General features: G+C 47.0%; 1 protein-coding gene across 1 annotated transcript in view, besides 4 other annotated features; it reads right to left on the bottom strand.

Moving 5' to 3' along the window:
- Positions 1-701, bottom strand: part of ITGB3 (integrin subunit beta 3) — a 59,917-nt gene extending 59,216 nt beyond the window's left edge. The window contains exon 1 of the mRNA NM_000212.3: positions 588-701. Within this exon, the coding sequence (NP_000203.2) occupies positions 588-666 (79 nt within the window). The 5' untranslated portion in view covers positions 667-701. The remainder of the gene's footprint in view (positions 1-587) is intronic.
- Positions 647-906: a silencer, noted in NCBI's record as "silent region_8624". NCBI's record gives its function as "represses an Ori minimal core promoter by ATAC-STARR-seq in GM12878 lymphoblastoid cells {active_cell/tissue: GM12878}" and the evidence as "EXISTENCE:reporter gene assay evidence [ECO:0000049][PMID:35858748]".
- Positions 15,355-16,291: an enhancer, noted in NCBI's record as "H3K27ac-H3K4me1 hESC enhancer chr17:45315603-45316539 (GRCh37/hg19 assembly coordinates)". NCBI's record gives its function as "activates a minimal SCP1, AML or CMV promoter by ChIP-STARR-seq in primed H9 embryonic stem cells {active_cell/tissue: H9 hESC(primed)}" and the evidence as "EXISTENCE:reporter gene assay evidence [ECO:0000049][PMID:30033119]".
- Positions 16,292-17,228: an enhancer, noted in NCBI's record as "H3K27ac-H3K4me1 hESC enhancer chr17:45314666-45315602 (GRCh37/hg19 assembly coordinates)". NCBI's record gives its function as "activates a minimal SCP1, AML or CMV promoter by ChIP-STARR-seq in primed H9 embryonic stem cells {active_cell/tissue: H9 hESC(primed)}" and the evidence as "EXISTENCE:reporter gene assay evidence [ECO:0000049][PMID:30033119]".
- Positions 24,674-24,723: an enhancer, noted in NCBI's record as "active region_12305". NCBI's record gives its function as "activates an Ori minimal core promoter by ATAC-STARR-seq in GM12878 lymphoblastoid cells {active_cell/tissue: GM12878}" and the evidence as "EXISTENCE:reporter gene assay evidence [ECO:0000049][PMID:35858748]".

Raw genomic sequence — 25,316 nt, 5'->3', positions numbered from 1 at the left:
AAAACAACCCCGCAGGAAGCCAAGTTGAAGGTAAAAAAAAGAAAGAAAGAAAGAAAAAAGGAAAAGAAAAAACCTTCTGGAGAAAGCGTAACAGGAGAAATTGGAAATGTGGGGAAACTGGCAAACCCGCGCGCGCGCACGCTCTCACCCAGGAAGCTACAGCGGCATCCCTCTGCCAAGGCGCGGGAACAACCCCCGGAAGCCCCACCTCGCCTTGGCTCCTGGGCCAGTCGTCCTTGGCCCGACCAGGACCACCCGCGACGCGCGCAGCCCCGGGTGAGCGCGGGGCTCAGAGATGCGCCCACCGCACCGTGCGCGCCGCGGCGGCCGGGAAGGCGCTCAGCCTGGCTGATGGCTTCGGCGTCTCGGAGGACCCGCTCCCAGGCACCAGGCACCTCTCAGCCCCGCCACCGCCGGGCCAGGAAGGTCCCCAGCTCCCGGCTCCGACCGCGCCAGCCAGGACACGCGCATTCCCAGCGCAGACGCGCGGGACCAGCCCTCCGCGTTTGCCGGCTCCAAGTCCGCAACTTGACCGGGGCGCAGATCCTGGGGCAGCTGCGACGCTGCCGAGCCGGAGCCTCACTCACCTCCTACGCCAACGCCCGCCAGCGCCCCCAGCGCCAGCACAGTCGCCCAGAGCGGCCGGGGCCGCGGCCGCGCTCGCATCTCGTCCGCCTCCCGCGGCGCTCCGCCCGCCCCACAGTGGGCGCCGCCGCCCGCGGCCGCTTTTCCCGCAGCGGGAGGGGAGGGGAGGGGACGCGGTGGGTGGGACGCAACGGGGCGGGCCGCGGACTCGCGCTTCCTCCCCTCCGGCTTCTCTAGATCCCCTCGCGCTTCTCTAGACCCTGCGCCTGAGAGGGAGCGGTGGGAAACTATTGCTCCTCTCTCGCCGCCTCCCTCGCCTCGCCCACGAGGACCCGCCTGCCAGCCGGGTCGTCAGCGCATCCTGGTCCCGGGGGTCCGCGACTGGGCACTTGGTGTGCTTAGAAAGGCCAGGAGCCTGTGGCCCCTCTCCGGACCCTTCCAGTCCCGCCTCCTGGGAGACCCTGTTTCGCTGGATTCTTGGGACACATTCACCCACTACCTCGAGTTTCATTCATTCACACTTTAATTCATTTGACTGGCAAACATCTGCTGAATGCCTTCTCTGAACCGGTTCAGTCCTTTATTATTCACTAATTTTTTTCTTGCCTTAGTTTGGTTTTCCGGTAGACTACCTACCTGTTGAGGGCAAGACCACATCCCAAGCTTGCGTAAGCAGTGATAGGTCCATGAAGAGCCTCGCCCTACAAACACTTGCTTGCACCTAGCCAGTGTCTGAAAACGTTTCAGAACACAGCATATTGCCTCCAAATTCACACTCACAGGCTTTGGGACTTTATCTATTTTCCTCAAAGGCCTCCTGCCTGACTCCCCCAAACTGTGGCCCCTTATCTCCCACCCCAATCTTTCTTTGAGTCCCTGGGTCTTCCCCAGACTTAAAACCTCTGGAAGCTCAGAGAGGCAAAATACTATGGCTATGAGCAAGAGGGCACCAGGAAGTAGCTGGTAGTGCAGCCTGCCTCAATGGGTAGTCCTGATGGTGATAAAAACAAGGCCAGAGGCATCAGTTCCCCTTTAGGGCTTTCAGAGTGGCCCTGGGCTTCCCTACGCAGCGTGCCCACCCTCTTCTGAGACACACAAGATGCCAGACAACTGGCCCTGACCCATCTCTCCAGCCCATCTCCCACCCTAGTCCAAGAAGATACTTGTCATTCCCCAATGCTCCATGCCTTCCTATCTGACTGATTTTCCTTCCTTTTTCCACTTGGAAAATTCCACTTATCTTTCAAAACATCTCAGATGCCATCTTTTTCCATGTAATTTTTTTCTGACAATCCTCCACCTCCTGCCCCACCCTCCCAAACACTAGGACCTTAATAGTAACACACATCAGCTGAAGCGTCACTAGCAATTTGCAAGGGGAAAAGCCAGCTCTGCAAAGGGTACTTGGGCCCTCTGACCTGGGTTTTCAGGCTGAAGCTCCATCTACCTCCCCTGGCTGCAGAGGGCCTCTAGGCCAGAAGCATTTTAACAGCAGTGTCAATGCCCTGGAGCAAAGTTCAGGTCACATGGCCTGGTTACATCTCTGCCTAAGTATTTAGTTATCTGCTCCATTCCCATATATATAAAACCAATCTCCAGCCACTTAGGTGTCTCCTTAGCCTATCCCTGCTGTCAGCAACCACTTGGGGTGGGCACTGGCCTCAGCAAGTATGCTAAGTCCACAACCCTAGCCCAAGCCCTAGCAAACATGACATAATTGTGCAAGTGAGTCCATCCTGCACTCCCAGCCCCAGGGAAGGCAAAGGAGCTAGTCCATTCACATTTAGTATAGTAATTGATGGTTGTGTTTACATTTACTATCTTGTTATTCGTTCTATCTTTTTGGCTGGTTTCTCTGTTTCTCTTTTTCTGCTTTCTTTTGGGATAATTTTTTTTTCTCTACTGGCTTCCTAGCTACACCTCGTTTGCATGTGTGTGTGTGTGTGTGTGTGTGTGTGTGTGTGTTTGCTCTAGGTATTACAATATTCCTCCTTAACTTATCATACAGTAGCCTATGTTGAATTAATATTGAACAATTCTATGTAAATTGTAAGAACCTGTAAACTAAAAATAACATTATAAGCCCCCCCACAACTGTCTGAACTAACCCTTCCTCTCAGCCAAGGGCATTCCAAAGTTAATCTGAAAAACTAGTTCAGACCATGATGTGAAGCAGGTTTGGGGAAGGTGGAGGGGGGGTGGTGGTTGAATATGCCTCACAGCTGACCAGCATTAGCATCAACACAAAGACCTTAAGGCTGATAGAATAGACTCTCTAAGTCTGATAAGAAACATTAACAGTCTATTCTGTCTGAAGCCTCTGGCTTCATCTGCATGATAAAAGTTTGGTCTCCACAACCCTTTATCCTAACTCAGACATTCCTTTCTGTTGGTTCTAGGTCTTTAGATAATAACACTTACAACCAATTGCCAATGAAAAAATCTTTGAATCCGTCTCTAACCTGGAAGTCCCTGTGTCAGATGTCCTGCCTTTCTGGACTGAACCAATGTTCAATGTACATGTATTGATTGATGTCTTTTGTCTCCCTAAAATGTATAAAACTGAGCTGTAGCCTGACCACCTTGGGCACGTGTCTTCAGGACTTCCTGAGGCTATGTCATGGGCATGTGCTTAACCTTGGCCAAATAAACTTCTAAATTGATTGAGACTTGTCTCTTCAAGTACATTAAAGATGGTCTGCTGTTTGCTGTCTCCATCATCTCTGGTGAGAAGTCTGCCATCCTTTATATTCTTGTTTCTCTTTCTTCTCCTCCTGGATTTTTTTCCCTAACTTTTTATTTTGAAATCATTAATACTTACAGAAGAGTTACAAAATACTAAAGAGAGTTTTCTTATGTCCTTCACCCAGCTTCCCCTAACGTTCACATCTTACATTTCTACATCATAATTATCAAACACAGGAAATTAACATCGATATAATACTATCAATTCATCTAGCTACAGAATTTGAATTTTACCATTTTTTTTCCCATTAATGTTCTTTTTCTGGTCCAGGATCTAATCCATTGTATTTAGTCATCATGTCTCCTTAGTTGGCCTCAATCTGTGACATTTTCTCAGTCTTTCTCATTCATCACTTTGACACTTTTGAAAAGTCTAGGCCAGCCGGGTGTGGTAGCTAATGCCTATAATCCCAGCACTTTGGGAGGCCAAGGCAGGTGGATCACTTGAGGTCAGGAGTTCAAGACCAGCCTGGCCAAGATGGCGAAACGCTATCCCTACTAAAAATACAAAAAAGGGCCAGGCGTGGTGGCTCATACCTGTAATCCCAGCACTTTGGGAGGCCAAGATGGGCAGATCACCTGAGGTCAGGAGTTTGAGGTCAGCCTGGCCAACATGGTGAAACCCTATCTCTACCAAAAATACAAAAAATTAGCCAGGCATCATGGCAGGCACTTGTAATCCCAGCTACTTAGGAGGCTGAGACAGGAGAATCGCTTGAACCTGGGAGGCGGAGTTGCAGTGAGCCAAGATCACACCACTGCACATCAGCCTCGGTGACAGAGCAAGACTCCGTCATACACACACATACACACAAATTAGCTGGGCATGGTGGTACGTGCCTGTAGTCCCAGCTACTTGGGAGGCTGAGGCAGGAGAATCACTTGAACCTGGGAGGCAGAGGTTGCTGTGAGCCGAGATTGCACCGCTGCACTCCAGCCTGGGTGACAGAGGAAGACTCCATCTCAAAAAGAAAAAAAAAGAAAAGAAAAGTCTAGGCCAGTTTTTTGTAGTATTTTGTTTATTTGGGGCTTGTCTGTTGTTTTCTCATTTTGGACAATAATACCACAAAAATGATGTTGTGCCTTCTCAGTACATCATATCAAGGAGTATATGATGTTGATATGGCTTATTACTTTGATCACATTGTTAAGGTGGTGTCTGCCAGGTTTATTCACTATAAAGCTACCATTTCTGTGAATGACAGGGCCTTAGCAGATGGATAATAAAAAGTAAAAAAATACAAAAAAAAAGCTACCATTTTTCTCTTTGTAATCAATACATATTTAATGGGAGGATACTTTAATTTTATGCAAATATCATAATGGTTTCATAATTTCACCCACTAATTTTATCATCCATTGATGATTCTTAACTGCAACAATTATTACTGTGGCATTTGATTCACAGTGATTTTCTATTTTCCTTTTTCTTATACAGTTATTAATTAACATTCAACAGTAAAGAAGAGCTGTCCCTTCTCTTCCACTTTAAAATTTGTTTATTTATGTCAGTATAAACTCACAGATATTTATTTTATTGCAGGACTGATAATCCAGTACTATCATTATTATGCTGCTCAAATTGTCCCAGGTTTTTCTCTAGCTACTCTATTCAACATCATCTAGATGTCGTCTATCTATTTGGAGACAGTTTTCAAATCCTTTCTAAGATTTATGTTCTCTAGGTGATATGACCCCAATTTATTTTATTTTATTTTATTTTATTTTATTTCATTTCATTTCATTTTTGACACAGGATCTTGCTCTGTTGCCCAGGCTAGAGTGCAGTGACATGATCATAGCTGATTGTAGCCTTGAACTCCTGGGCTAAAGCAATCCTCCTACTCCAGCCTCCTCAGTATCTAGGACTATAGGCACACACCACCACATCCAGATAATTTTTAAATTCTTTGTAGAGACAGAGTCTTCCTATGTTGCCCAGGCTTGTCTCAAACTCCTGGCCTCAAGTGATCTTCCTGCCTTGGCCTCTTAAAGTCCTGGGATTACAGGCATGAGACACTATGCCTAGCCTTCTCCAGTTACTTTTAAGTTCTTTATCTTTTTTTTTTTTTTGAGATGGAGTCTTGCTCTGTCACCCAGGCTGGAGTACAGTGGTGCAATCTCTGCTCACTGCAACCTCTGCCTCCCAGGTTCAAGCAATTCTCCTGCCTCAGCCTCCCAAGTAGCTGGGATTACAGGCACCCGCTGCCACGCCCAGCTAATTTTTGTATTTTTAGTAGAGACAGGGTTTCGCCGTGTTGGCCAGGCTGGACTCAAACTCCTGACCTCAGGTCACCCACCCGCCTTGGCCTCCCAAAGTGCTGGGATTGCAGGCATGCACCACCATGCCCAGCTCTTTCTTTATCTTTGGTTTCTCAGCAGCTTAACTAAAAGGTGATTAGGTGCTGTTTTATTTTATTTATCTAGCTTACAGTCTGGTGTGATTTATGGATATATAAGTGGTTTACTTTTCCTCACATGTAGGTTATTTTTAGCCATTATTTCTCAAAATACTATTTTCTACACATTTTCTCTCTGCTTACCTGCTGAAACTCCAATTACACATATTTTAGACTATCTGATTTTATTCCACAAACCACTGCAGTTTAGGTCTTTTTTAAATTACTTTTTCTGTCTTTCAGATTAAATAGTCTATTGATATCTCTTAAGTTTCTCAATCCTTTCTTTTGCAGTCTCTAATATTCTGTGATGCCTATCCAGGAGAATTTTCCTTTCAGACATTATACTTGTAAGTTCTAGAATTTCCATTAGTTCTCTTCTATACTGGCAATTTATCTGCTGATATTCCCCCATCTCTTCAACCATTATGCCTATATTTTTCTTTAAGTCCTTAAACATGTTTACAGCAGTTGTTTTAAAATTCTAGTTTGCTAATTCTAGTTCATCTCAAGGTTTGTTTCTATTGATTTCCTTTTTCAGGAAAAATTATGGGTCCCTATGTACCTATAATCCCAGTTACTCAGGAGGCTGAAGTGGGAGGATCACTTGAGGCCAGGAGTTTGAGACCAGCCTGAACAACATAGCAACACCCCATCTCTTAAACAGCCTGAACAACATAGCAAGATGCCATCTCTTTAAAAAAAAGTAACAAAAAAAATTATGCATCCCATTTTCCTTCTTCTTGACATGTCTAGTAATATTAGGTTTTATAGTGAAACATTGTGGACTACTGATTTTGAGTTTACGTTGTCTTTTCTTGAAGAGTATTGAGTTTTGTCCTATTAAGCAGTTAGGCCAAGTATGGTGGCTTATGCCTGCAATCCTAGCAGTTTGGGAGGCCGAGGAAGAAGAATCATTTAAGCCCAGGAGGTTGAGGTTGCAGTGAGCTATATCATGCCACTGCACTCTGGCCTGGGTGACAGAGTGGGACCCTGTCTCTAAAAATAAATGAATAAATAAATAATCTGTTAAATTAGTACCAGATTGTCTTGATCTAGTCAGGCTTAGTTTTATTCTTCATCAGAAATGGCCTTTTTAAATTTTATCCTTGGTCTTAAAGTGTGGTTTCTTGTTCTTCTTGTTGTTGTTGTTGTTCATTGTTTCTAAATTATAATTTTAGCCAAAAGAATATTCTTACATAGAAAACGTGTGGATCCAGAATCTATTTCTTTCATCAAATGTCATTTCAAGTTAACTCTAACTTTTAATATACTTTATTTTTTTTAGAGCAGCTTTACATTCACAGCAAAATGTAGTGGAAAGCACAGAGTTCCCACACACGCCCCTGCGCCACACATGGAGAGCAACCCCCATTATCCATCCCCCACCAGAGTGGTACATTTGCTACAACTGAGGAACCTACATTGACACATCATTATCACCCAACATTCACAGTTTACATGAAGTTCACCCTTGATGTTATACATTTTATGGGTTTGGACAATTTTTTTTTTTTTTTTTTTGAGACAGAATCTCGCTGTGTCGCCCAGGCTGGAGTGCAGTGGCACCATCTTGGCTCACTGCAACCTCTGCTTCCTGGGTTCAAGCAATTCTCCTGCCTCAGCCTCCCAAGTGGCTGGGATTACAGGCACCCACTGCCATGCCCAGCTAATTTTTGTATTATTAGTGGAGACGGGGTTGCACCACGTTGGCCAGGATGGTTTCGAACTCCTGACCTCAGGTGATCTGCCCGCCTTGGCCTCCCAAAATGCTGAGATTACAGACGTGAGCCACCGCACCCGGCTGGACAAATTTATAAATATGTGTATCTACCATTATAGTATTATAGTCCCCTAGAATCGTTTCACTGCCCTAAAACTTCTCTGTGCTCTAAATATTTATCCCTCCTTCCCTCCAATCCCTGGAAACGACTGACCTTTCTACTGTCTCCAGGGTTTTTCTTTCTCCAGATTGTCATATAGTTGGAATCATATAGTGTATAGTCCTTTCAGGCTGGCTTCTTTCACTTAGTAATATGTAGTTAAGGTTCCTCCCTGTCTTTTCATGGCTCAATAGCTCATTTCTTTTTAGCACTGAATAATATCCCATTGTCTGGAGGTACTACAGTTTATTTACCCATTCACCTACTAAAGGATATCTTGCTTCCAAGTTTTGGCAATTTTGAATAAAGCTGCTTATAAACACTATGTGCAGATTTTTGTGTGGACATCAGTGTTCCGGATTTTGGCCATTCTAACAGGCGTGTAGTAGCATTTTATTATTGTTTTACTTCATATTTCTCTGATGATATATGATGTAGAGCATCTTTCATATGTTTATTTGCTTCTTGTATACCTTCAAGGAGTGTTTTTTTACTATTGAACGTGGTCCTTCCTCCTAAGGCATGGATTTTCTGGAGTGTAATCTGAGGACCCAAGTTGCTCAATGAGATTTATTCATTCTGGCTAAGCCGAAACTCCAACATCTGCAAGCCATGTACAGCCTCTAGTGACCTGTTCAGCTCTCAGCTGCTCTCTGAAAAACCTTAGGGAGTCTCACCCTGTGTATATCAGCCCATCCCTCATCCAAAGACCATGCAGAACACCCATGCAAACTTCTGGGAGCACCTCTGTGTTCAGTTCCTTCCTCTCTAAAAGCCTTCCTTGCAAATTACATCTTCCTCAGCAGCCCTGAATTCTAATCTATGCCTCTTCTGCCCAATGAGACCAACATGTACTTCTTGAGCTTCTGGATTGCAGTGCAACCCAGAAAATGTCCCAATGCAGAAAGCTGGGCAGATATAGGGTTGAGCTCATGTGTTCTCTCTTCCTTCAAGGATTATAATTCTGCTCTGCCTATTGCTCCATTTCTAAAAGGAGTTCTTTAAATATTTTTTCAAAATGTTTTGTTGTTTCCTGTGGGAGAGCAAGTCCCATACTAGTCACTTTGCCATAGCCAAAAGCAAAGGTTCTGTGATTACTTATTTACTTACCTCCACCTCTTCTACCAATACTGGACAGCAAGATGTTTTGAGTGCCAGGACTTATTTATATTTCCTAGCAAGCTCTCAACAAATAAAAGAGTATCTTCCTATTTGTTTACCGTTTTCATTTTAACAGACTACCTATCCAGCACATATGTTGGGAGACCTGAGTGTCCACTCTTTGATTTGCCCAAGTGCCATGCTCCCTAGCAGATAGGACCAGGGAGGGGTATCCAATGCATGGCAGGTGGAAGATCTTTCCCAAGATCCGTTTACAAGGCAAGAGTCACATTATCTGGTCCCTTGCCCCACTGTGCCAGGCTGATACCAAAATAGGTATGCTTTTCCTGTGTTCTCATTAATAGTCTGCCCCAACCCGGGGCAGCTCCTGCTCCTATTCAGTTCCTTATTGTCACCACTATAAGTTTTGTGGCCAGGTTTGTGGCCGTTTCTCGAACCTCTTACCTTCATGGTCATGTTTAATTCCCCTTTGTACAAAGAGCCAAAAGGTCTAGATTCACATCCTTGCCTCATCTTTTACTAGTTAGATGACCTTGAAAAAGTCTCCAAATCCTCTCTACATTCATCTTCTTTATCTGTAAAAAATACACTGCCTGTTTCCTGCCTTTTTCCCACCCCCAATTTTAGCCTTCCCCCTCCCAACACACACACATGGATATGAGGTTCCATTAGACCATGGATATACGAAAGCCCTTTGGAATCTGGAAAGCACAGAGGCATGTGTTATTATTATTGTTATTTGTAGAGAGACTGCAGAGAAGACCAAGTGTGGCTCAGAATCTTCTCCTCCTACACATTTGGCAGAGACTCTTCTGTCCATTGAGAAAGGGATGACCCAGCTGTTCTTTTGGCTTACAGGAGAATGGGCTTTTCAGAGTCCACACTGACTAAAAATGGCGTACCTGGACTTTATGGGCTCTGGGGAGCTACTTGAAAACTATCCCTAGTTTTTTATCAAGGAAGTTGTGGAGGGATGAGCTCAGCCTTGGCATTCAACATTCATTCATAAGCATGTACTAAGCATATGCAGCATGCCAGGTGCTTCTCTGGATGCTGAGGCCTTAATAGTAAAGAACAACAGGCCCGGCCCTCCTAGCACTTGAGCCTGGTTGGGCCTGGTGCTCTGTCTTGGAGTGCAACTCCTTCCTCATCCTCATGTGAGGCAGCCCTTCCTCTGCTGAGAAGAAAACGTGTGAAGCTCAGGGCCATACCAAACGCATCCTGTGCCCACTGATGGCAGCCGTGACCTACATGGAGAAACAGGACTTCCGCATGTACCTCCTGAGCCACAAGGAGCTGGGAAGCCAGCGTGGCTATGCCCACACTGTGATGGATGAGTTGCTGATCTCGTGCTGGGCGGTCAACTGCCTCCTCATCCTCCCTCTCCTCTGGCCTGGTGCCCTCCTCACTCTCACCTACACCTGGGGCCTACACTGGCTGGCTCCCACGGTACTGTGGCTGTAATGTGCCCAGCCCTGGGGGGCTGTGCAGAGCTACATCCTCCCTGCAGGCGGCAGTTGCTATGTAAATTAATCTTGTACATGTTGGGTGTGCGTTCTGTAACCTCTTCCCCTTCCCTCTCAACCACACCATATGAATTATACAAAATATTTCTGTTGAACTAGGACTGTCCTTTCCTTGGCTTTTATACATATTAAACAGTTGTGAATCTAGAAAGAAGAAAGGAAGGAAGGAAGGAAAGAAGGAAAGAAGGAAGGAAGGGGAGAGAGAGAGAGAAAGAAAGAAGGAAAGAAAGAAAGGAAGGAAGAAAGAAAGAAAAAAAAGAAAGGAGGGAGGGAGAGAAGGAAGGAAGGAAGGGAAAGAGAGAGAAAAGAAGAGAGAGAGAGAAAGAAGGAAAGAAAGAGAAAAAAGAGAGAAAGAAAGAGAGAGAGAAAAAGAGAGAAAAGAGAGAGAAGAAAGAGAAAGGAAGGAAGGAAGAAAGAAAGAAAAAAAAAGAAAAGAAAAGGAAAAGAAAAGAAAAGAAGTGAAGTGAAGCCAAGGACTTTCCATCCCAGCTCAGCAAACAAGGTACTGCCTGGCCAAGCCTAGATTCAAGCTCTGTGCCCACAAAGGGCATCACTGCCCATGCTCCATCTCAGACCAATCCATGCCTCTTCCCCATCCAACCCCGGAATAATGGAGCTACTGCTTGGCTTCTGGCCCCAAGCTCCTGTTCTAGTATCCCTCTAAATCCCCCGTCGCCCTCCTTGGGACCCTGCTCCAGTGAATTCAAACTTGCAGCTGGCTCCAGACATTTCTCTCAGCCCTCTCTGACATTCCCTATTTGGTTTTTTTTTTTTTTTTGAGTTGGAGTTTTGCTCTTGTCACCCAGGCTGGAGTGCAATGGTGCGATCTTGGCTCACTGCAACCTCTGCCTCCTGGGTTCAAGCGATTCTCCTGCCTCAGCCTCCTGAGTAGCTGGGATTACAGGCACCCACCACCACACCCGGCTAATTTGTTTGTATTTTTAGTAGAGACAGGGTTTCACCATGTTGGCCAGGCTGGTCTCGAACTCCTGACCTCAAGTGATCCACCCGCCTTTGCCTCCCAAAGTGCTGGGATTACAGTTGTGAGCCCAGCCTTCTTATTTGTATTCTTAAAAGACAGGTTTGAATCCTAGAGCCTCCATTTCCTAGCTGAGGGACCCTGGCAAGTTACTAGACTGCCCTAAGCCTCCATTTCCTCATCTATGAAATAGAGTTAGAAGGGACATGATGGCTCATACCTGTAATCCCAGTGCTTGGGGAGGCTGAGGCAGGAGGATCACTTGAGCCCAGGAGTTCAAGACCAGCCTGAGAATCGAAGCAAGACTTCATCTCTACGGAAATGTTTAAAAATTAGCTGGGTGCACTGGCACACACCTGTAGTCCTAGCTACTTGGGAGGCTGAGGTGGGAGGACTGCTTCAGCCACTTAGCACAGTAATTAGCATGTAATAAGTATTCAATAAATGGTGGGCATGGTGACTCACACCTATAATCCCTGTGTGGGAGATTTTAGGTGTGAGCATTGTGGGAGGCCAAGGAGAGGATCCCTTGAGCCCAAGAGTTTAAAACCAGCCTGGACAACATGGTGAAACCCCATCTCTAAAAGTAAGTAAGTAAGTAAATAAATAAACAAATAAATAAGAGCTATTTTTTCCTCTTAGGATCAACTCATCTATGCTGGTTTAATCTACCCCCACATTCTGCCTACGAGTCAGGATACCTACTGATTTTCATTGTTGCTGCCCATCTCTAGCTCCCTGGACAATGTTGGCTGAATGGAGGCAGGAGGAGGTTGCATACTGTCTGGGTACTGTCTTTACCAGTCAAACTGAGCATCCTCTGACAGCTCCTGGATCAGGTCCTGTGCCCTGTGCCAACCCACGGGTGGATCTAGTGTCTAGTCCTTGGGCTTAATTAGTGCTGCTGGGACAAGTCCACCAGGTTTCTTCACCTGAAGTCCCTTGATGAGTTCCTGGGGATCTGTGAGGCCCCTCTAATATGCAAACATTTGTGTGATATGCATTTTTCTATAGAAATGCTCCTTAGTTTTCACTAGCTTCTCAAACGGGTCTGTGACCTCTAGGGTTAACAACAATTGTTCCACCTTCTTAAAGAACTAAAAGTAGATCTACCACTCCATCCAGCAATCTCACTACTGGGTATCTACCCAAAGGAAAAGAAGTCATTGCATCAAAAAGACACCTGCATGCGTAGGTTTATCACAGCACAATTCACAACTGCAAAGATACGGAATCAACCTAAGTACCTATCAACTGATGAGTGGATAAAGAAAATGTAGTAGTTGGGCATGGTGGCTCATGCCTGTAATCCCAGCACTTTGGGAGGCCGAGGCGGGTGGATCACCTGAGATCAGGGGTTCGAGACCAGCCCGGCCAACATGGTGAAACCCCGTGTCTACTAAAAATACAAAAGTTAGCTGGGGATGGAGGTGCACACCTGTAACCACAACTACTCGGGAGGCTGAGGGAGGAGAACCACTTGAACCTGGGAGGCAGAGGTTGCAGTGAGCCAAGATTGCACCATTGCACTCCAGCCTGGACGACAGAGCGAGTGTCGGTCTCAAAAATAAAAAAGAAAATGTGGTATATAGACATCATGGAATACTACTCAGCCATAAAAAGGAAGGACATAATGTATTTTGCAGTAACTTGGATGGAGCTGGAGGCCATCATTCTAAGTGAAGTAATTCAGGAGTGGAAAACCAAATACTGTATGTTCTCACTTATAAGTGGGAGCTAAGCTATGGGTATGCAAAGGCAAACAGAGTGGTATAATGGACTTTGGAGACTCAGAAGGGGGAAGGTTGAGGGGGTTGAGGGATAAAAAAAACACATATTGGGTACAATATATACTACCCAGGTGATGGGTGCAGTAAAATATCAGACTTCACCATTATACAATTCATCCATATAATCAAAAACCACTTGTACTCCAAAAGCTATTGAAATTTTTAAAAACATATCTATAATAAGAAAAAAAAAGAACAATTGCTCCAGAGGAATCCTAGGATCTAGAACACCATGAGGCTAGTTTGGGCCACTGAGGACTCAGGAAGGCCCTTGCTATAGCCAATACCCACACTGTCAGCTATCTGCTTTCACTACTCCAGCCTGCCACTCACCAGCTTCTCTGGAGTAGCAGGACCTAGTCAGTTCTCCCAAATCTGCCTGAATTCAGTGCCAGTCCATTGTCCAGTCCCCGACATTTCTACTCAGCAGAGGGGGTTAACTCCACAGGTCTACTCCAGCCAGGGACTGACCTCCCTTCCCCCAACCCCACTTCCCCTCAGCACATGAGCTGCTGACCCAGGTCCTCTTCCCCAGCGTCTGGCTTTCCTCCATGGGAAGGAACTAGAATTTGAGAACACCTACCATATACCACCTTCTATACAAATATTGCAAATATTGATTATTTCCCTCAATCCTCATTTTATAGAGGTGCAAACTGAAGCTTGGTGGGCGAAGAGACAGTGATGATGATGATGATGATGATTTTACTAGATGCCATTTATTTTGAGGTTAGTGTGTTCAAGATACTATGCTAAGCATTCTTTCATACTTTTCTTTTTTTTAGTCTGCGGTAAGATACGTGGGGAAATCCTGATTTTACAAGTGAAAAAATGGAGGCACAGAGAGATGAGGTAATTAGCTCAAGAGCACCAGGGAGTTAGTGGCAAAGATGGGGTTCAGAAAAGTTCAGCCTGACTTCAGTGCTTACCCTACAACCTACTGTCTCCCTTACTGTAAGTGTGGGTATAGAATGTCAGGCACTCCCAAATGTTTCAAGTCAGCATTGCTATGATAATGGGAGAAATTCCTGTTTGTCATAAAACACTACTAGATTTCCCATTGTCTGAGATAAAATTGGGAAATCCATAAAGACATTATCTCTAGCGTCGCTGCAGCCCAGGCCAAGTCCAGGAATTCTGTGCCACTAGCCTGAGGAGGCACCCAGAGCTGGGTCAGTCCTACCCACCCCCAAGGGCTGCTCTATTTCCAGGTCCTGACCACTTCCTGTCTTGACTATTACAAGAAGTTACCAACCATGTCTGGCTGAATCCTGAGATATGATAGTGGCACCAGAAAAACCTGGGCATTGGGCCAAGGTCTGAGCTAAACAGAGGGCCCTTGGGATACAGCTTTTCCTTGAAAGGATGACAAACAGAGAGATGACTGTGAGCTGGAAGTATGATTAGCAAGCATGTCTCACTTCCCCCATGGCCCTATGTGTTTCCAACCCAGTAAGACCTGCCTGGAAGCCATGAGGCCTGAGGAAGCAGCCGTGAGGCCTCACCTCCTTCACTGCACAGGACCCCTGGCAGGAGCGCTCCTCTGCCTCTCTGGTCCTGCCTCCTCCCTCTCCTCTCCACCCCTCTGGCTCCATTCTCCTCGCTTCAGGGACTCAGATACCTGTGCCTACCCCAAGGGCTGTGTTCCCCGTCCCTGGGCAGTTACTCTCAACCGCCATCCTCTGTCTGCCTCACCCTGATTCTTTGGTCCTTCCCTAGGAACTCTTTGCCTGCACACCGATCCCTTAAATGCTCAGAGGATTCTGTACATGGTAAAACTTTCAGCCTAAGACCATTCTAGTTAATGAATGCCCTGTTTCCTAACGCTTTCCTTTGCTCAGGTCATAAAATGGACTCGTTGTGCCTCAGAATTCTACTAGGCAATGCACTGAATAAGATTTAAGCTAAGAGGACAAGAATGTTGATAACTTTACATCTGACATTTATTGAGGGCTCATTTTGGGCCAGGTGTTATTCTAATAAATGCCTCATACATATTACCTTGTAACATCCTCACAACATCCCTTAATGAGGTGGGTGTTGTTTTCATCCCCATTTTAGAGAGAAGGATGCCAAGGTGCAGAAAGGAAGAGGAGTCTCCAGTTCTAAACTCTGGCATTCTGGCTTCAGAGGCCAAACACTCAATAGTCAAGCCATACCCAGAAGCCTTCAATGCCTACACCCCCAAAAAGTAATTAATAATGGATATTTGGGGCACTGTGGCAGGTGACCATGGATACCCTTCAAGGTAGGGGGATAGAACTCCCAAAGTCCCTCAAAATCTAATTGTAATATGGCAGAGGATGGGAAGGAAGCATGTGAAGGTTTGGCTATGATATTAATTACATAGGTTATAAGATATAAGCCCCAGCTCTGTTTATCTGTGCCAACTTTTTAAGTTGTATTTTTTCATCAAGACAGACGGGGAAAAAAGTACCTTAAAAATATGAGCTAGCCAGGCACAGTGGCATGTGCTACTCAGGAGGCTAAGATGGGAGGATGGCATGAACTCAGAGGTTCGAATCCTCGCCTCTAAAATTAAAAATTAAAAAAAAAACCATAAAAATATGAGTGATTTTGTAGCAAGACTATCCTTACTGATGGCAGCAGCGGGCCATCCGAAGCAGGGGCTTACCATCACACCAGCTGCAGCAGGGAGGAGCCAGCAGTGGCGACAGGAGCAGCTGTGGGAGTGGCAGTGGCGGCGGTGGGACCCCTGCGCCCCACGTCCCATGTGCCCTGCATCCCGAGGCAGCCGACTGCACCGCCCTCACCATCACACGGCGTGGGTGGGACCCACCCCCAGGCCTGGAGCCTCCATCACTTTTGACCCTGCCCCCATGTCGCCACTCTTGCCCACCGCGGCTGCGGGGAGGGTGTGGGGAGGAGGATGACAGTCCCCAGAGCCCAGCCCAGGGAGCTGCCCCAGAGCCCGCCGCCCTGGGGGCCACCGCAATGGGGCCAGGCCCAGTCACCAGCCTGCAGGGGAACAATGCAGTTGGGCACAGAGAGGTGTGCAGAGAGGGGCCTGGGGCGCAGAGCTGGGGCCGTGCTTAGGGGACCGGGGGTGGAAAGCGGGAGCGGCCCCTGCTTAGAGACCCAGCCAGCAGTACGGCCACGTGCCCAACCCACTGAGAGCAGGGGTTCCTGTGCCTCAAGAGGAGGCTCTGCGCAGGGTTGCCGGGGCTGCATCCCCAGGATCTGCCCTACATCAGGGTGACCACCGAGCCTGACACTCCTGATGGCCGGGCTCAGGACCTACAATCCACTCTCGAAGTCACTCCTGGAGGCACCCCTGGGCAGGGTCTGACAGGGCGGGGGAGAGCCCTGGGCCATCCCTGAGCATTGGGGCCATGGTAACTCATGACAATGACACCCTTACACCAGATGCCTGGCCCAGGCCCAGGCCCAGTGAAAACTTGAAGACCTCACTCCAGACTGTGAGGAGGCACCGCCAGGGCCGCTCGCTCCACAGAGCCAGCAGGAGCCAGGGACTAGCAGAAGCCCCACCCCTTCCAAGTTGGTGGGTGGGAACTCCCCAGGTGCTGCTGCAGCCACCCTGCCCTGTGGAATCAGGCATTTCTGCACTCTTGGGAGCCCAGGAAGGTCCCTCTACCCCCTGCAAGCTCGGGGGTGCCTACTCCCGCTGCCTGGCTTCTCCCCACTGTTGGCACCCACTCTGATCTCAGAGCAAGGCCAGGGCCTAGCCTGGGCACTGTCACAGCCCTGCCTGGGATGCACACACTTGAGGCAGTGCTGACACACCAGGCCCCTGCTGCCTTGGTCCCCTCTGGACTGTGGGTGCCAACAAGCACAGGAAGGAGGCTGAGGGGAGTGCTGAGGACAGCCCGGAGCTGGCCTGCTGACTGAACAGCCTGGGCACCATGAAGTGGACAGGAGGCAGACAGGCTCCTGGGTGGAAGAGGGAGGGTCCCCAGTGAAGCTCCACTTTCAAGGGAGTGGCAGGGTGGGGGGCAGCTGCCAGTCCAAGACCAGAGAGGGAACCTGAAGTGCTTTTCTCTGAACCCTGCCCATAGCCACCTATGGACAAATCAGCATGCACTTCCTCCCTTATGAAGCCCATAAAAACCCTGGACTCAGCCAGACTGAGCAGAGGAGGGAAAGCATGACAGCCAGGGAGGTGATGACCAGCTGCAGAGAGGAGCTGCCCTCCCCAGAGGAGCTGCCCACCCCAGGGTCTCCTGTCTGCTGAGAGCTGAGGAGATGACCAGCTGCAGAGAGGAGCTACCCTCTCTGCTGAGAGCTGAACACTTATTGGGACACCCTGGCTATGGAGAGGAGCCGCTCACTACAGGTCTCCTCTGAGCTGTTCTGTTGCTCCATAAAGCTCCTCTTCATCTTGCTCACCCTCCACTTGTCTATGTACTCATTCTTCCTGGTTGCAGGGCAATAACTTAGGACCTGCCAAATGGCAAGGCTAAAAGAGCTGTAACACAAACAGTGCTGAAACATGCCGCTTGCTTGCCCCATTGGGGGCAAAGAGGAGAGAAAATCTGTGGCCCTTTAGGAATCTCAGACCTGGGAGCTCCCCAAGCCAGGGCTGTGACTCCCTCTTTGGGGCCCTGCAGTTCCTGGCATCTCCAAGCTTCTGGGTGCCACTGCATTCCCCACTGCCAGCCAGGGAAGCTATTTGTGCACCCAGTCCAGCAGCAGCCTCACAGAGAGCTGGCACCCATGTTACCACCTGGAGCTGCCCACCCTGTGGCAGCAGCCGGCATGTCCAACTGCGCACAGTGGCTAGACCCCATGCTCACTCATGCACCCCTTACCACTCCATGTCTGACTTGCAGTCTCCCTTGAAGGCATGGGATTCAGGCCGATAATGTGAGCGGAGCATGGCCTGCCAGGCCGAGTGGGTGGAACAAGCCCAGTAGGCCTGAGCAAAACTTGGGCAAAGGCGCTGTTGGCCACAGACGTTTCCCACCAGAAAAGCAACACTCCAAAGATCCAATAACACTACCAAGTCCAAATAATCTGAGTCCCATTCACGGAAAAAAGAAATTTAGTAATAGGTATACCTGAGTTACAAATCACATGACACAAGTGACTTACTGTCTCTCCTGCTACTCCCTACCCACTCCATCTCTTCTCCCACAACCCACAAGACTCATTGCAACCAGATGCCACAAAGAAAGGACCAGGGGACAGGGTCACCAGGACACATCCCCTCATTCCACCTTCCCAACTGGAGCCGCAAGCAGCATTCCTCATTTCCTTTAATTTAAGGTCTCTTTGGCTCTTAATCCCTGGGAAGTGTCCCTAACTCACCTCTAGTCTCTGATCATTTCTGTACTCTAAATCATTTCAGTATTTCTGCCCTAATTTTGTTAAGTGTTGGTCGGATTTATTTATTTATTTATTTATTTATTTACCTGCTAGCAGGTTTGTACCAAGGCCTGAATGCTTTGCTCTACACTTCTTTGAGTATTCCTAGTGTCATGTTATTTGGTGGCCAAAATGGTACATGATGGCTGAGTAACCAAAGCTGGAGAAGAGGGGAGAAAAAGAGCTGGAAGGGATCCCAGAGCACCTTTGTCTCCTATACTGCAAAAGGAAACTGAAGCCCAGGAGGAGAAAGTGACTTGACAAGGTGAAAAGTTTGACTGGTGGTGAGGGACAACCAGGTAGTTTTTGTTTCCTACTTCACGGCATTGGGTAGAGAAAATTGGGGTGGGGCCAAGGAAAGCAAAGGGCAATAAGGCATGGCGCTAAGAACACAGGCAGCGAGCTGATGTGGGCCTGATTCCTGAAGCTTCCACCCACTCACTGAGTGCCCTGGTGAGAGTTACTTAACCTCCAGAAGCCTCAGTTTTCTCATCTGTAGAATGGGGATAACCACACCTACCTCATGAGGAATCTCTGGGAAGGGTAAATGAATAATGTACACAAAGCACTTGAAACAGCATAAGCACAGGGGAAGTATGCAGAAGAGGGAGGTGCTCTTACTATTATGAGCAGTATTTCTCTCTCCATTTGTCTTCTAGGCATTTTTTATTCTTCTTTCTTTCTTTCTTTTTTTTTTTTGGTCGGGTGCAGGATCTCACTCTGTTGCCCAGGCTGGAGTGCAGAGGCACAATCAAGTCTCACTGCACCACTGACCTTCCAGGCTCAAGTGATCCCCCCACCTCAGCCATTGGAGTAGCAGGGACCAGAGACACACACCACCACATTGGCTTTTTTTTTTTCTTCACTTTTTGTAGAGATAGGGTCTCACTGTGTTGCCCAGGCTGGTCTTGAAGTCCTGGGCTCATGTGATCCTCCCACCCTGATCTCCCAAAGTGCTGGGATATCAGATGTGAGCCACCACACCCAGCCATTTCTATTATTTTTGAGTTTTCTAAAAGAATAATGGTTCTTTCATTTTCCTTCTTTTGCTAAGGTTATTCCCATTGCTTAAGATACCCTCCTCCCCTACAGAGCTAATGTGTATTGAGTCCTTACTATATTGCAGACACTGTTTTAAGTGCTTTACACATTTTAAATTATTTGATCTTCTTAATAACCAAATTGGGTCAGTATGACTATTATCCCCAGTTTATAGATTAGGAAATTAGCCAGGCATGGTGGCTCACTCCTGTAATCCAAGCACCTTGGGAGGCTGAGGAAAGAGGATTGCTTGAGGCCAGGAGTTTGAGACCAGCCTGGGCAACATAGTAAGACCCCATCTCTACAAAAAGTAAAACAATAAAATAAAATAGCCAGGCATGGTGGCACCCACCTGTAGTCCCAGCTCCTTGGGAAGCTGAAGCAGAAGGATGACTTGAGCCCAGGAGTTTGAGGTTGAAATGAACTATGCACAGCAAGACTCTGTCTCAAAAAAAAAAAAAGTAAGTTCCAATTCAAAACAAAACCAGCAATACAATGCATTAAGGACATGATTATGAAACTAACTATACAGAGTTCTCTCCACGTTCCAACTGGTAACCAAGCTTTTAATGCTGGATCTTTGACTTCTAGCTTTTGTTTGTTTGTTTGTTTGTTTGTTTGTTTTGAGACACAGTCTCACTCTATTGCCCAGGCTGTAGTGCAGTGGCATGATCTCGGCTTACTGCAACCTCCACCTCCCAGGTCTAAGCGATTCTCCTGCCTCAGCCTCCCAGGTAGCTGGGATTACAGACATGCGCCACCATGCCCAGTTAATTTTTGTGTTTTTAGTAGAGATGGGGTTTCACCATGTTAGCCAGGCTGGTCTCGAACTCCTGACCTCAAGTGATCCACCACCTGGGCTTCCAAAAGTGCTAGGATTACAGGCGTGAGCCACTACACCCAGCCAACTTCTAGCTTTTTTCATTAGACTACAGAGCACAGATAGACTGAGCTGATTACTGAAGAGTGTAGGTGGAAATGGAAAGGGAGAAGGTAGGGCCAAGGGGGCCATTATTGAATCTCCTTTGAAGCTCCAGGGCCAGGAAGTTGAGACCAGCTCAGGCAGATGTGCAGTTTCAAATTCTTGGCCACCAAGACCAAAGTCTCACACATCACAAAGAAAACTGAGACATGGATGCCCCCAATTCCCTGTGCCTACATCGATCACATCTGTCAGTTACAAAGTGACACTTCTGTCCCTAATAACTAATATCATATAAGATTTATGTAAATGCAAAATGATTGAGATTTTTAGGAACTGCTCATACTCTCTTGAGTATGACCAAAAATTTGTGAGAGGAGAATCACTTCCATTGACAATGAACTTAATTCTACAGAAAAATTAGGCCGAGTGCAGTGGCTCACACCTGTAATCCCAGCACTTTGGGAGGCCGAGGCGGGTGGATTATCTGAGGTCAAGAGTTTGAGAGCAGCCTGGCCAATATGGTGAAACCCCATCTCTACTAAAAACACAAAAATTAGCTGGGTGTGGTGGCAGGCACCTGTAATCCCAGCTACTCAGGAGGCTGAGGCACTAGAATCACTTGAACCCGAGAGGCAGAGTTTGCAGTGAGCTGAGATCACACCACTGCACTCCAGCCTGGGCAGCAGAGCAAGACTCTATCTCAAAAATAAAATAAAATAAAGAAAGGAAGAAAGGAAGGAATTAAACTGATAGGAATGGAGGCATGTGAGTAAGTGCTGATCATCAGGAAGATTCAGATCTACTGGGAACCTGACCATCTGAGGGAGGACACCCAGTGGAGGCCATCAGAACCTGACAAAGGAAGAGAGGAAAAGAGGTGGCCTCAGTGGTGTGCAAGCCTGTGCGCCCTCAGTTCCTACTAGGGGATATGTGCCCCTTGCAGATCCAGCAGGGTTTGGAACAAGATTGAGAGGAGCTTGGTGTTTATGCAGATCTAAGTGGCCCCACAAAGGAGTAAAAGTTATAAGTGGAACTGTCTCTTTAAACCCAAGAGTGACCCAAAGAATGGCGGGGGGCAGAGCTGGAAGTGAAGAGAGTCCTGGGAGAAAGAGATGAGCTATCTTGGAGTTCATGGTAGCCTGAGAGGAAGACTGGCTACACCAGATGCAATGTCAAAACATTCAGGAAAAAGATAAACAGTATCCCACAAAGGCCCTGAAACAGCAGTTCTTAACCTTTTTTTTTTTTTTTTTTTAGGCCTCTGACCCCTTTGAAAATATAACAAAAAGGACAAATCCTCCCCTTGGAAAAACAGCAGAAATATGCCTACAATGGTTTTCTATGGTTAAGAACCTCAGTTTCTATTGTAAAAAGAATGAATGGTACTCAAAATTGAAATTCTAGGCCGGGCATGGTGGCTCATGCCTATAATCCCAGCACTTTAGGAGGCTGAGGCAGGAGAATCACCTGGGGCCAGGAGTTCAAGCCCAGCCTGGGCAACATAGCAAGACCCTATCTCTAAAAAAAAAATGTTTAACTAGCAAAGCATGGTGGCATATGCCTATAGTCCTTGCTACTCAGGAGGCTGAGGCAGGAAGATGGCTTGAGCCCAGGAGTTCGAGGGTGCAGTGAACTATGGTCATGCCACTGTACTCCAGCCTGGGAGCAGGGTTCCAGTCAGGAGGCACAGGGGCCTCCCTCTTTGCCAACATAACCACAGATTCTACCTTTTAGGATTTGGGTAAAAAGTAAAGAAGAATAAAAGAAGAGTGAGAAAGAGAACTGGAGAATGGGATAGAGGCAAGGAAAAGGGAAGAAAGACACGATGGAGCGGGGAGCACCCATTCACTCTGGAGTGATGTGTACCCATTCAGAGGTAGAGAAGCAAAGTGAAACAATCTGAATATAGGTCAGGTGTGGTGGCTCATGCCTGTAATCTCAGCACTTTTGGAGGCTGAGCAGGGCCAATCCCTTGAGCCGAGGAGGTCGAGACCAGCCTAGGCAATGTGGCAAAACCCCATCTCTACAAAAAATAGAAAAATTAGCCAGGTATGCCTGTAGTCCCAGCTACGTGGGAGACTGAGGTGGGAAGATCACCTGTTCCCCCCCAGCAAGGCTGAGGCTACAGTGAGCCTTGATTGTGCCACACTCTGCTCCAGCCTGGGCAATGAAGTGAAACCCTGTCTCAAAAAAAAAAAAAAAATCTGAAGGTGAGCTGGGAAAGCACTCATTCTTTTCTCCCCTAATCTTGTACAACCACAGAATCATAGGTTTCAGGGTTGGAAGAGATCTTTAGTTCAAACTCTTCCATAAAAGCCCCATGAAATATTTGCTAGTGTTCACTTGAATACCTACCACGACATGGGACTCAATACTTCGCAAGGTAGACCATTCCATTTGAGAAAACCTCTAATCGACATTAAATTTTTCCTAGCAGGGATCTGACATATACATCTCTGAGGTTTTCATCCACTGATCCTGGATTTGCCCCCAAAGTGACCCAGAAAAAATGTAGGACAATTCCCCATTATAGAAGTTGCTGTTTCCCCATTTCTCAGCCAAGTACTTTCCAGCAGGTGATTGTTCTAGGCAAATACTCTTGAATCCGTATTATGTGGCCATTTGCTCTGAAACCTGTTTTATCTTGGGTCTCAGTTCCCTCTAAGCTACGTATTTTCATGTTTTAGAGTCAGAAGATTAATCTCCTTGACAGAAAAGATGGAACTGAGGTCAAAATAGAAGTTGAGTTCTACTAATGTCACACTGCTGGCACAAAGGGCAGTGCCCTTCCTGCTCTTCTTGCTCTGAACGTAAGTAAAAGCATATATTTGTTGGTTTTAACATATAAACATTTTCATTTCATTTTAGACTTATGCCTTCTTGGCTTTGTTCTCACAGCTCTATGCCACTACTTTATGTCCATCAGCGGCTCTCAGCTCACCTTCAGAATTTTTTTTTTTTTTTTGTAGACAGGGTTTCACTTCATTGCCCAGGCTGGAGCACAGTGTGGCGCAATCACGGCTCACTGCAGCCTCAACCTTCCCAGGGGGGAACAGGTGATCTTCCCGCCTCAGTCTCCCGTGTAGTTGGGACTACAGACATGCCTGACTAATTTTTCTATTTTTTGTAGAGACGGGGTTTCGCCACATTGCCCAGGCTGGTCTTGACCTCCTGGGCTCAAGGGATCAGCCCTGTTCAGCCTCCAAAAGTGCTGGGATTAGGCATGAGCCACCGCCCCTGACCTATCTTTAGATTGTTTCACTTTGCTTCTCTACCTCTGAACGGGTACATGTCCCTCCACAGTGAATGGGTGCTCCCCGCTCCACCTTGTCTTTTTTCCCTTTTCCTTGCCTCACATCCCATTCTCCAGTTCTTTTTCTCACTCTTCTTTTATTCTTCTTTACTTCTTTTTGCCCAAATTCTAAAAGGCAGGAACTGTGGTTATGTCGGCAAAGATGAAGGCACCCTGTGCCTCCTTACTGGAGCCCCGCTCCCTGAGTTCTTGTCTATTGATATTCCATCAGAGCTTGCCACCTCTCCTCCTTAAAGCCCTCCCTGACCACCCCTCCTCCTCTGAGCTCCTAGTGTCCTGGTCCCACACCTCTCCCTTGCTCCTTAGACATATACTGCCTAGTGTCATTTCGATTATTTTGTCTTTTAATATAGTTCAGCTCCACTTATATATTTTTTCCCTCAAGTAGAGTATAAACTCATAGAGGGAGAGACCACAGATGACTTTGTTTTTATATCCTGAAGTACCTACTGCTGTGCACTCAATAATTTATTTTGAATGAATGCTTCCCACCGCTGGAGGTTCTAAACACACATATACAATAAGGATCAAAACGAAACAAATGGACTAAGGCTGACTGTAGTGAGAGGGAGTTGCTGAATGCTAAATGATTAGTATCAGAGAGCTGGAAGGGACATGAACCATGATCTAATCGATTCCCTCATTTTGCAACCTGTGGACTGAGGTTGAGTGGGGATGTGACTTGACCAGGTCCCCACATGTCCACAAGTGTCCTCTCTATGACCCCTCATTGCAAAACCTTTGTGGGGGTACTGAAGCAAGCGAACGAATTGCTGTGAGTCTTTAAAAGTAAACAAAAACTCCATTTGTCTGAAGGCAAAGAGACGGACTAAGTGATTTCTCAAGTTTCCTTTCAGCCCGGGCTGGCAATCGGTTTTCTCCAGCGTCTCAGGAACGTGTCAAACGTGGGCGTCCTGTTGGAAGCACGCTGTTGCAAGTTTGTCATCTAGTGGTGGAAGGTAGGTATTGCGCCACCAGCCATCTCCAACACCGTTTTCCCTAAAAGCCCTGGTCAACGGAGTTTGTTTAGGATGCCAAACGCGTGATGACACTCTGCTAACCGTGGCCCTCAGGTGATTACAGTCTACTAGAAGTCTGCAGGGTCTCCTGTAGCTCTACAGTTCCAGTCTGGCGACTGTGTTAGGGAGACTAAATTGTGACCATCACTAATTAATACAGATGGGAAAATCTCTAGGGAAGAGGTGAGCCTGACTTGCGTATTGAAGGGTGGGAATAAGGTGGATGAACAGAATGGGGCACGTATCAGGAGAGAGAAACAAGATGAATCAAGAGGTCCTGGGGTGAGGAGAGAAGGGGAGAGGGAAGCAGCACTGGGGAGCTAACAGAAAGAAAGATCAGCTGGCTTCAGCCAGTGATGCCTCTAGCAGATTTGGGGCAAATAAAGGAAGGCCTTAGAAGTTAAATAGAAAGGTTTGGAAATGACCCAGTAGGGGATAGGAGCTCTTTTAAGTCCTAATTAGGGAAGAAATTTGATTAAAACAGTGTTTCAGGAATATAAATATGCCATGCTACCATCTTTTTTCTTTTGTCTTTTTCTCACCACCCCCCACCCCCCACGACCAGCCCCACCCCCTAGACGGAGTCTTGCTCTGTCACACAGGCTGGAGTGCAGTGGCGCGATCTCAGCTCACTGCAACCTCC

This window comes from Homo sapiens, chromosome 17 (assembly GCF_000001405.40).
Source record: "Homo sapiens chromosome 17, GRCh38.p14 Primary Assembly".
Lineage (NCBI taxonomy): Eukaryota > Metazoa > Chordata > Mammalia > Primates > Hominidae > Homo > Homo sapiens.
The sequence above is the reverse complement of the archived record's forward strand: the minus strand, read 5'-3'. Positions and strand labels throughout refer to the sequence as shown.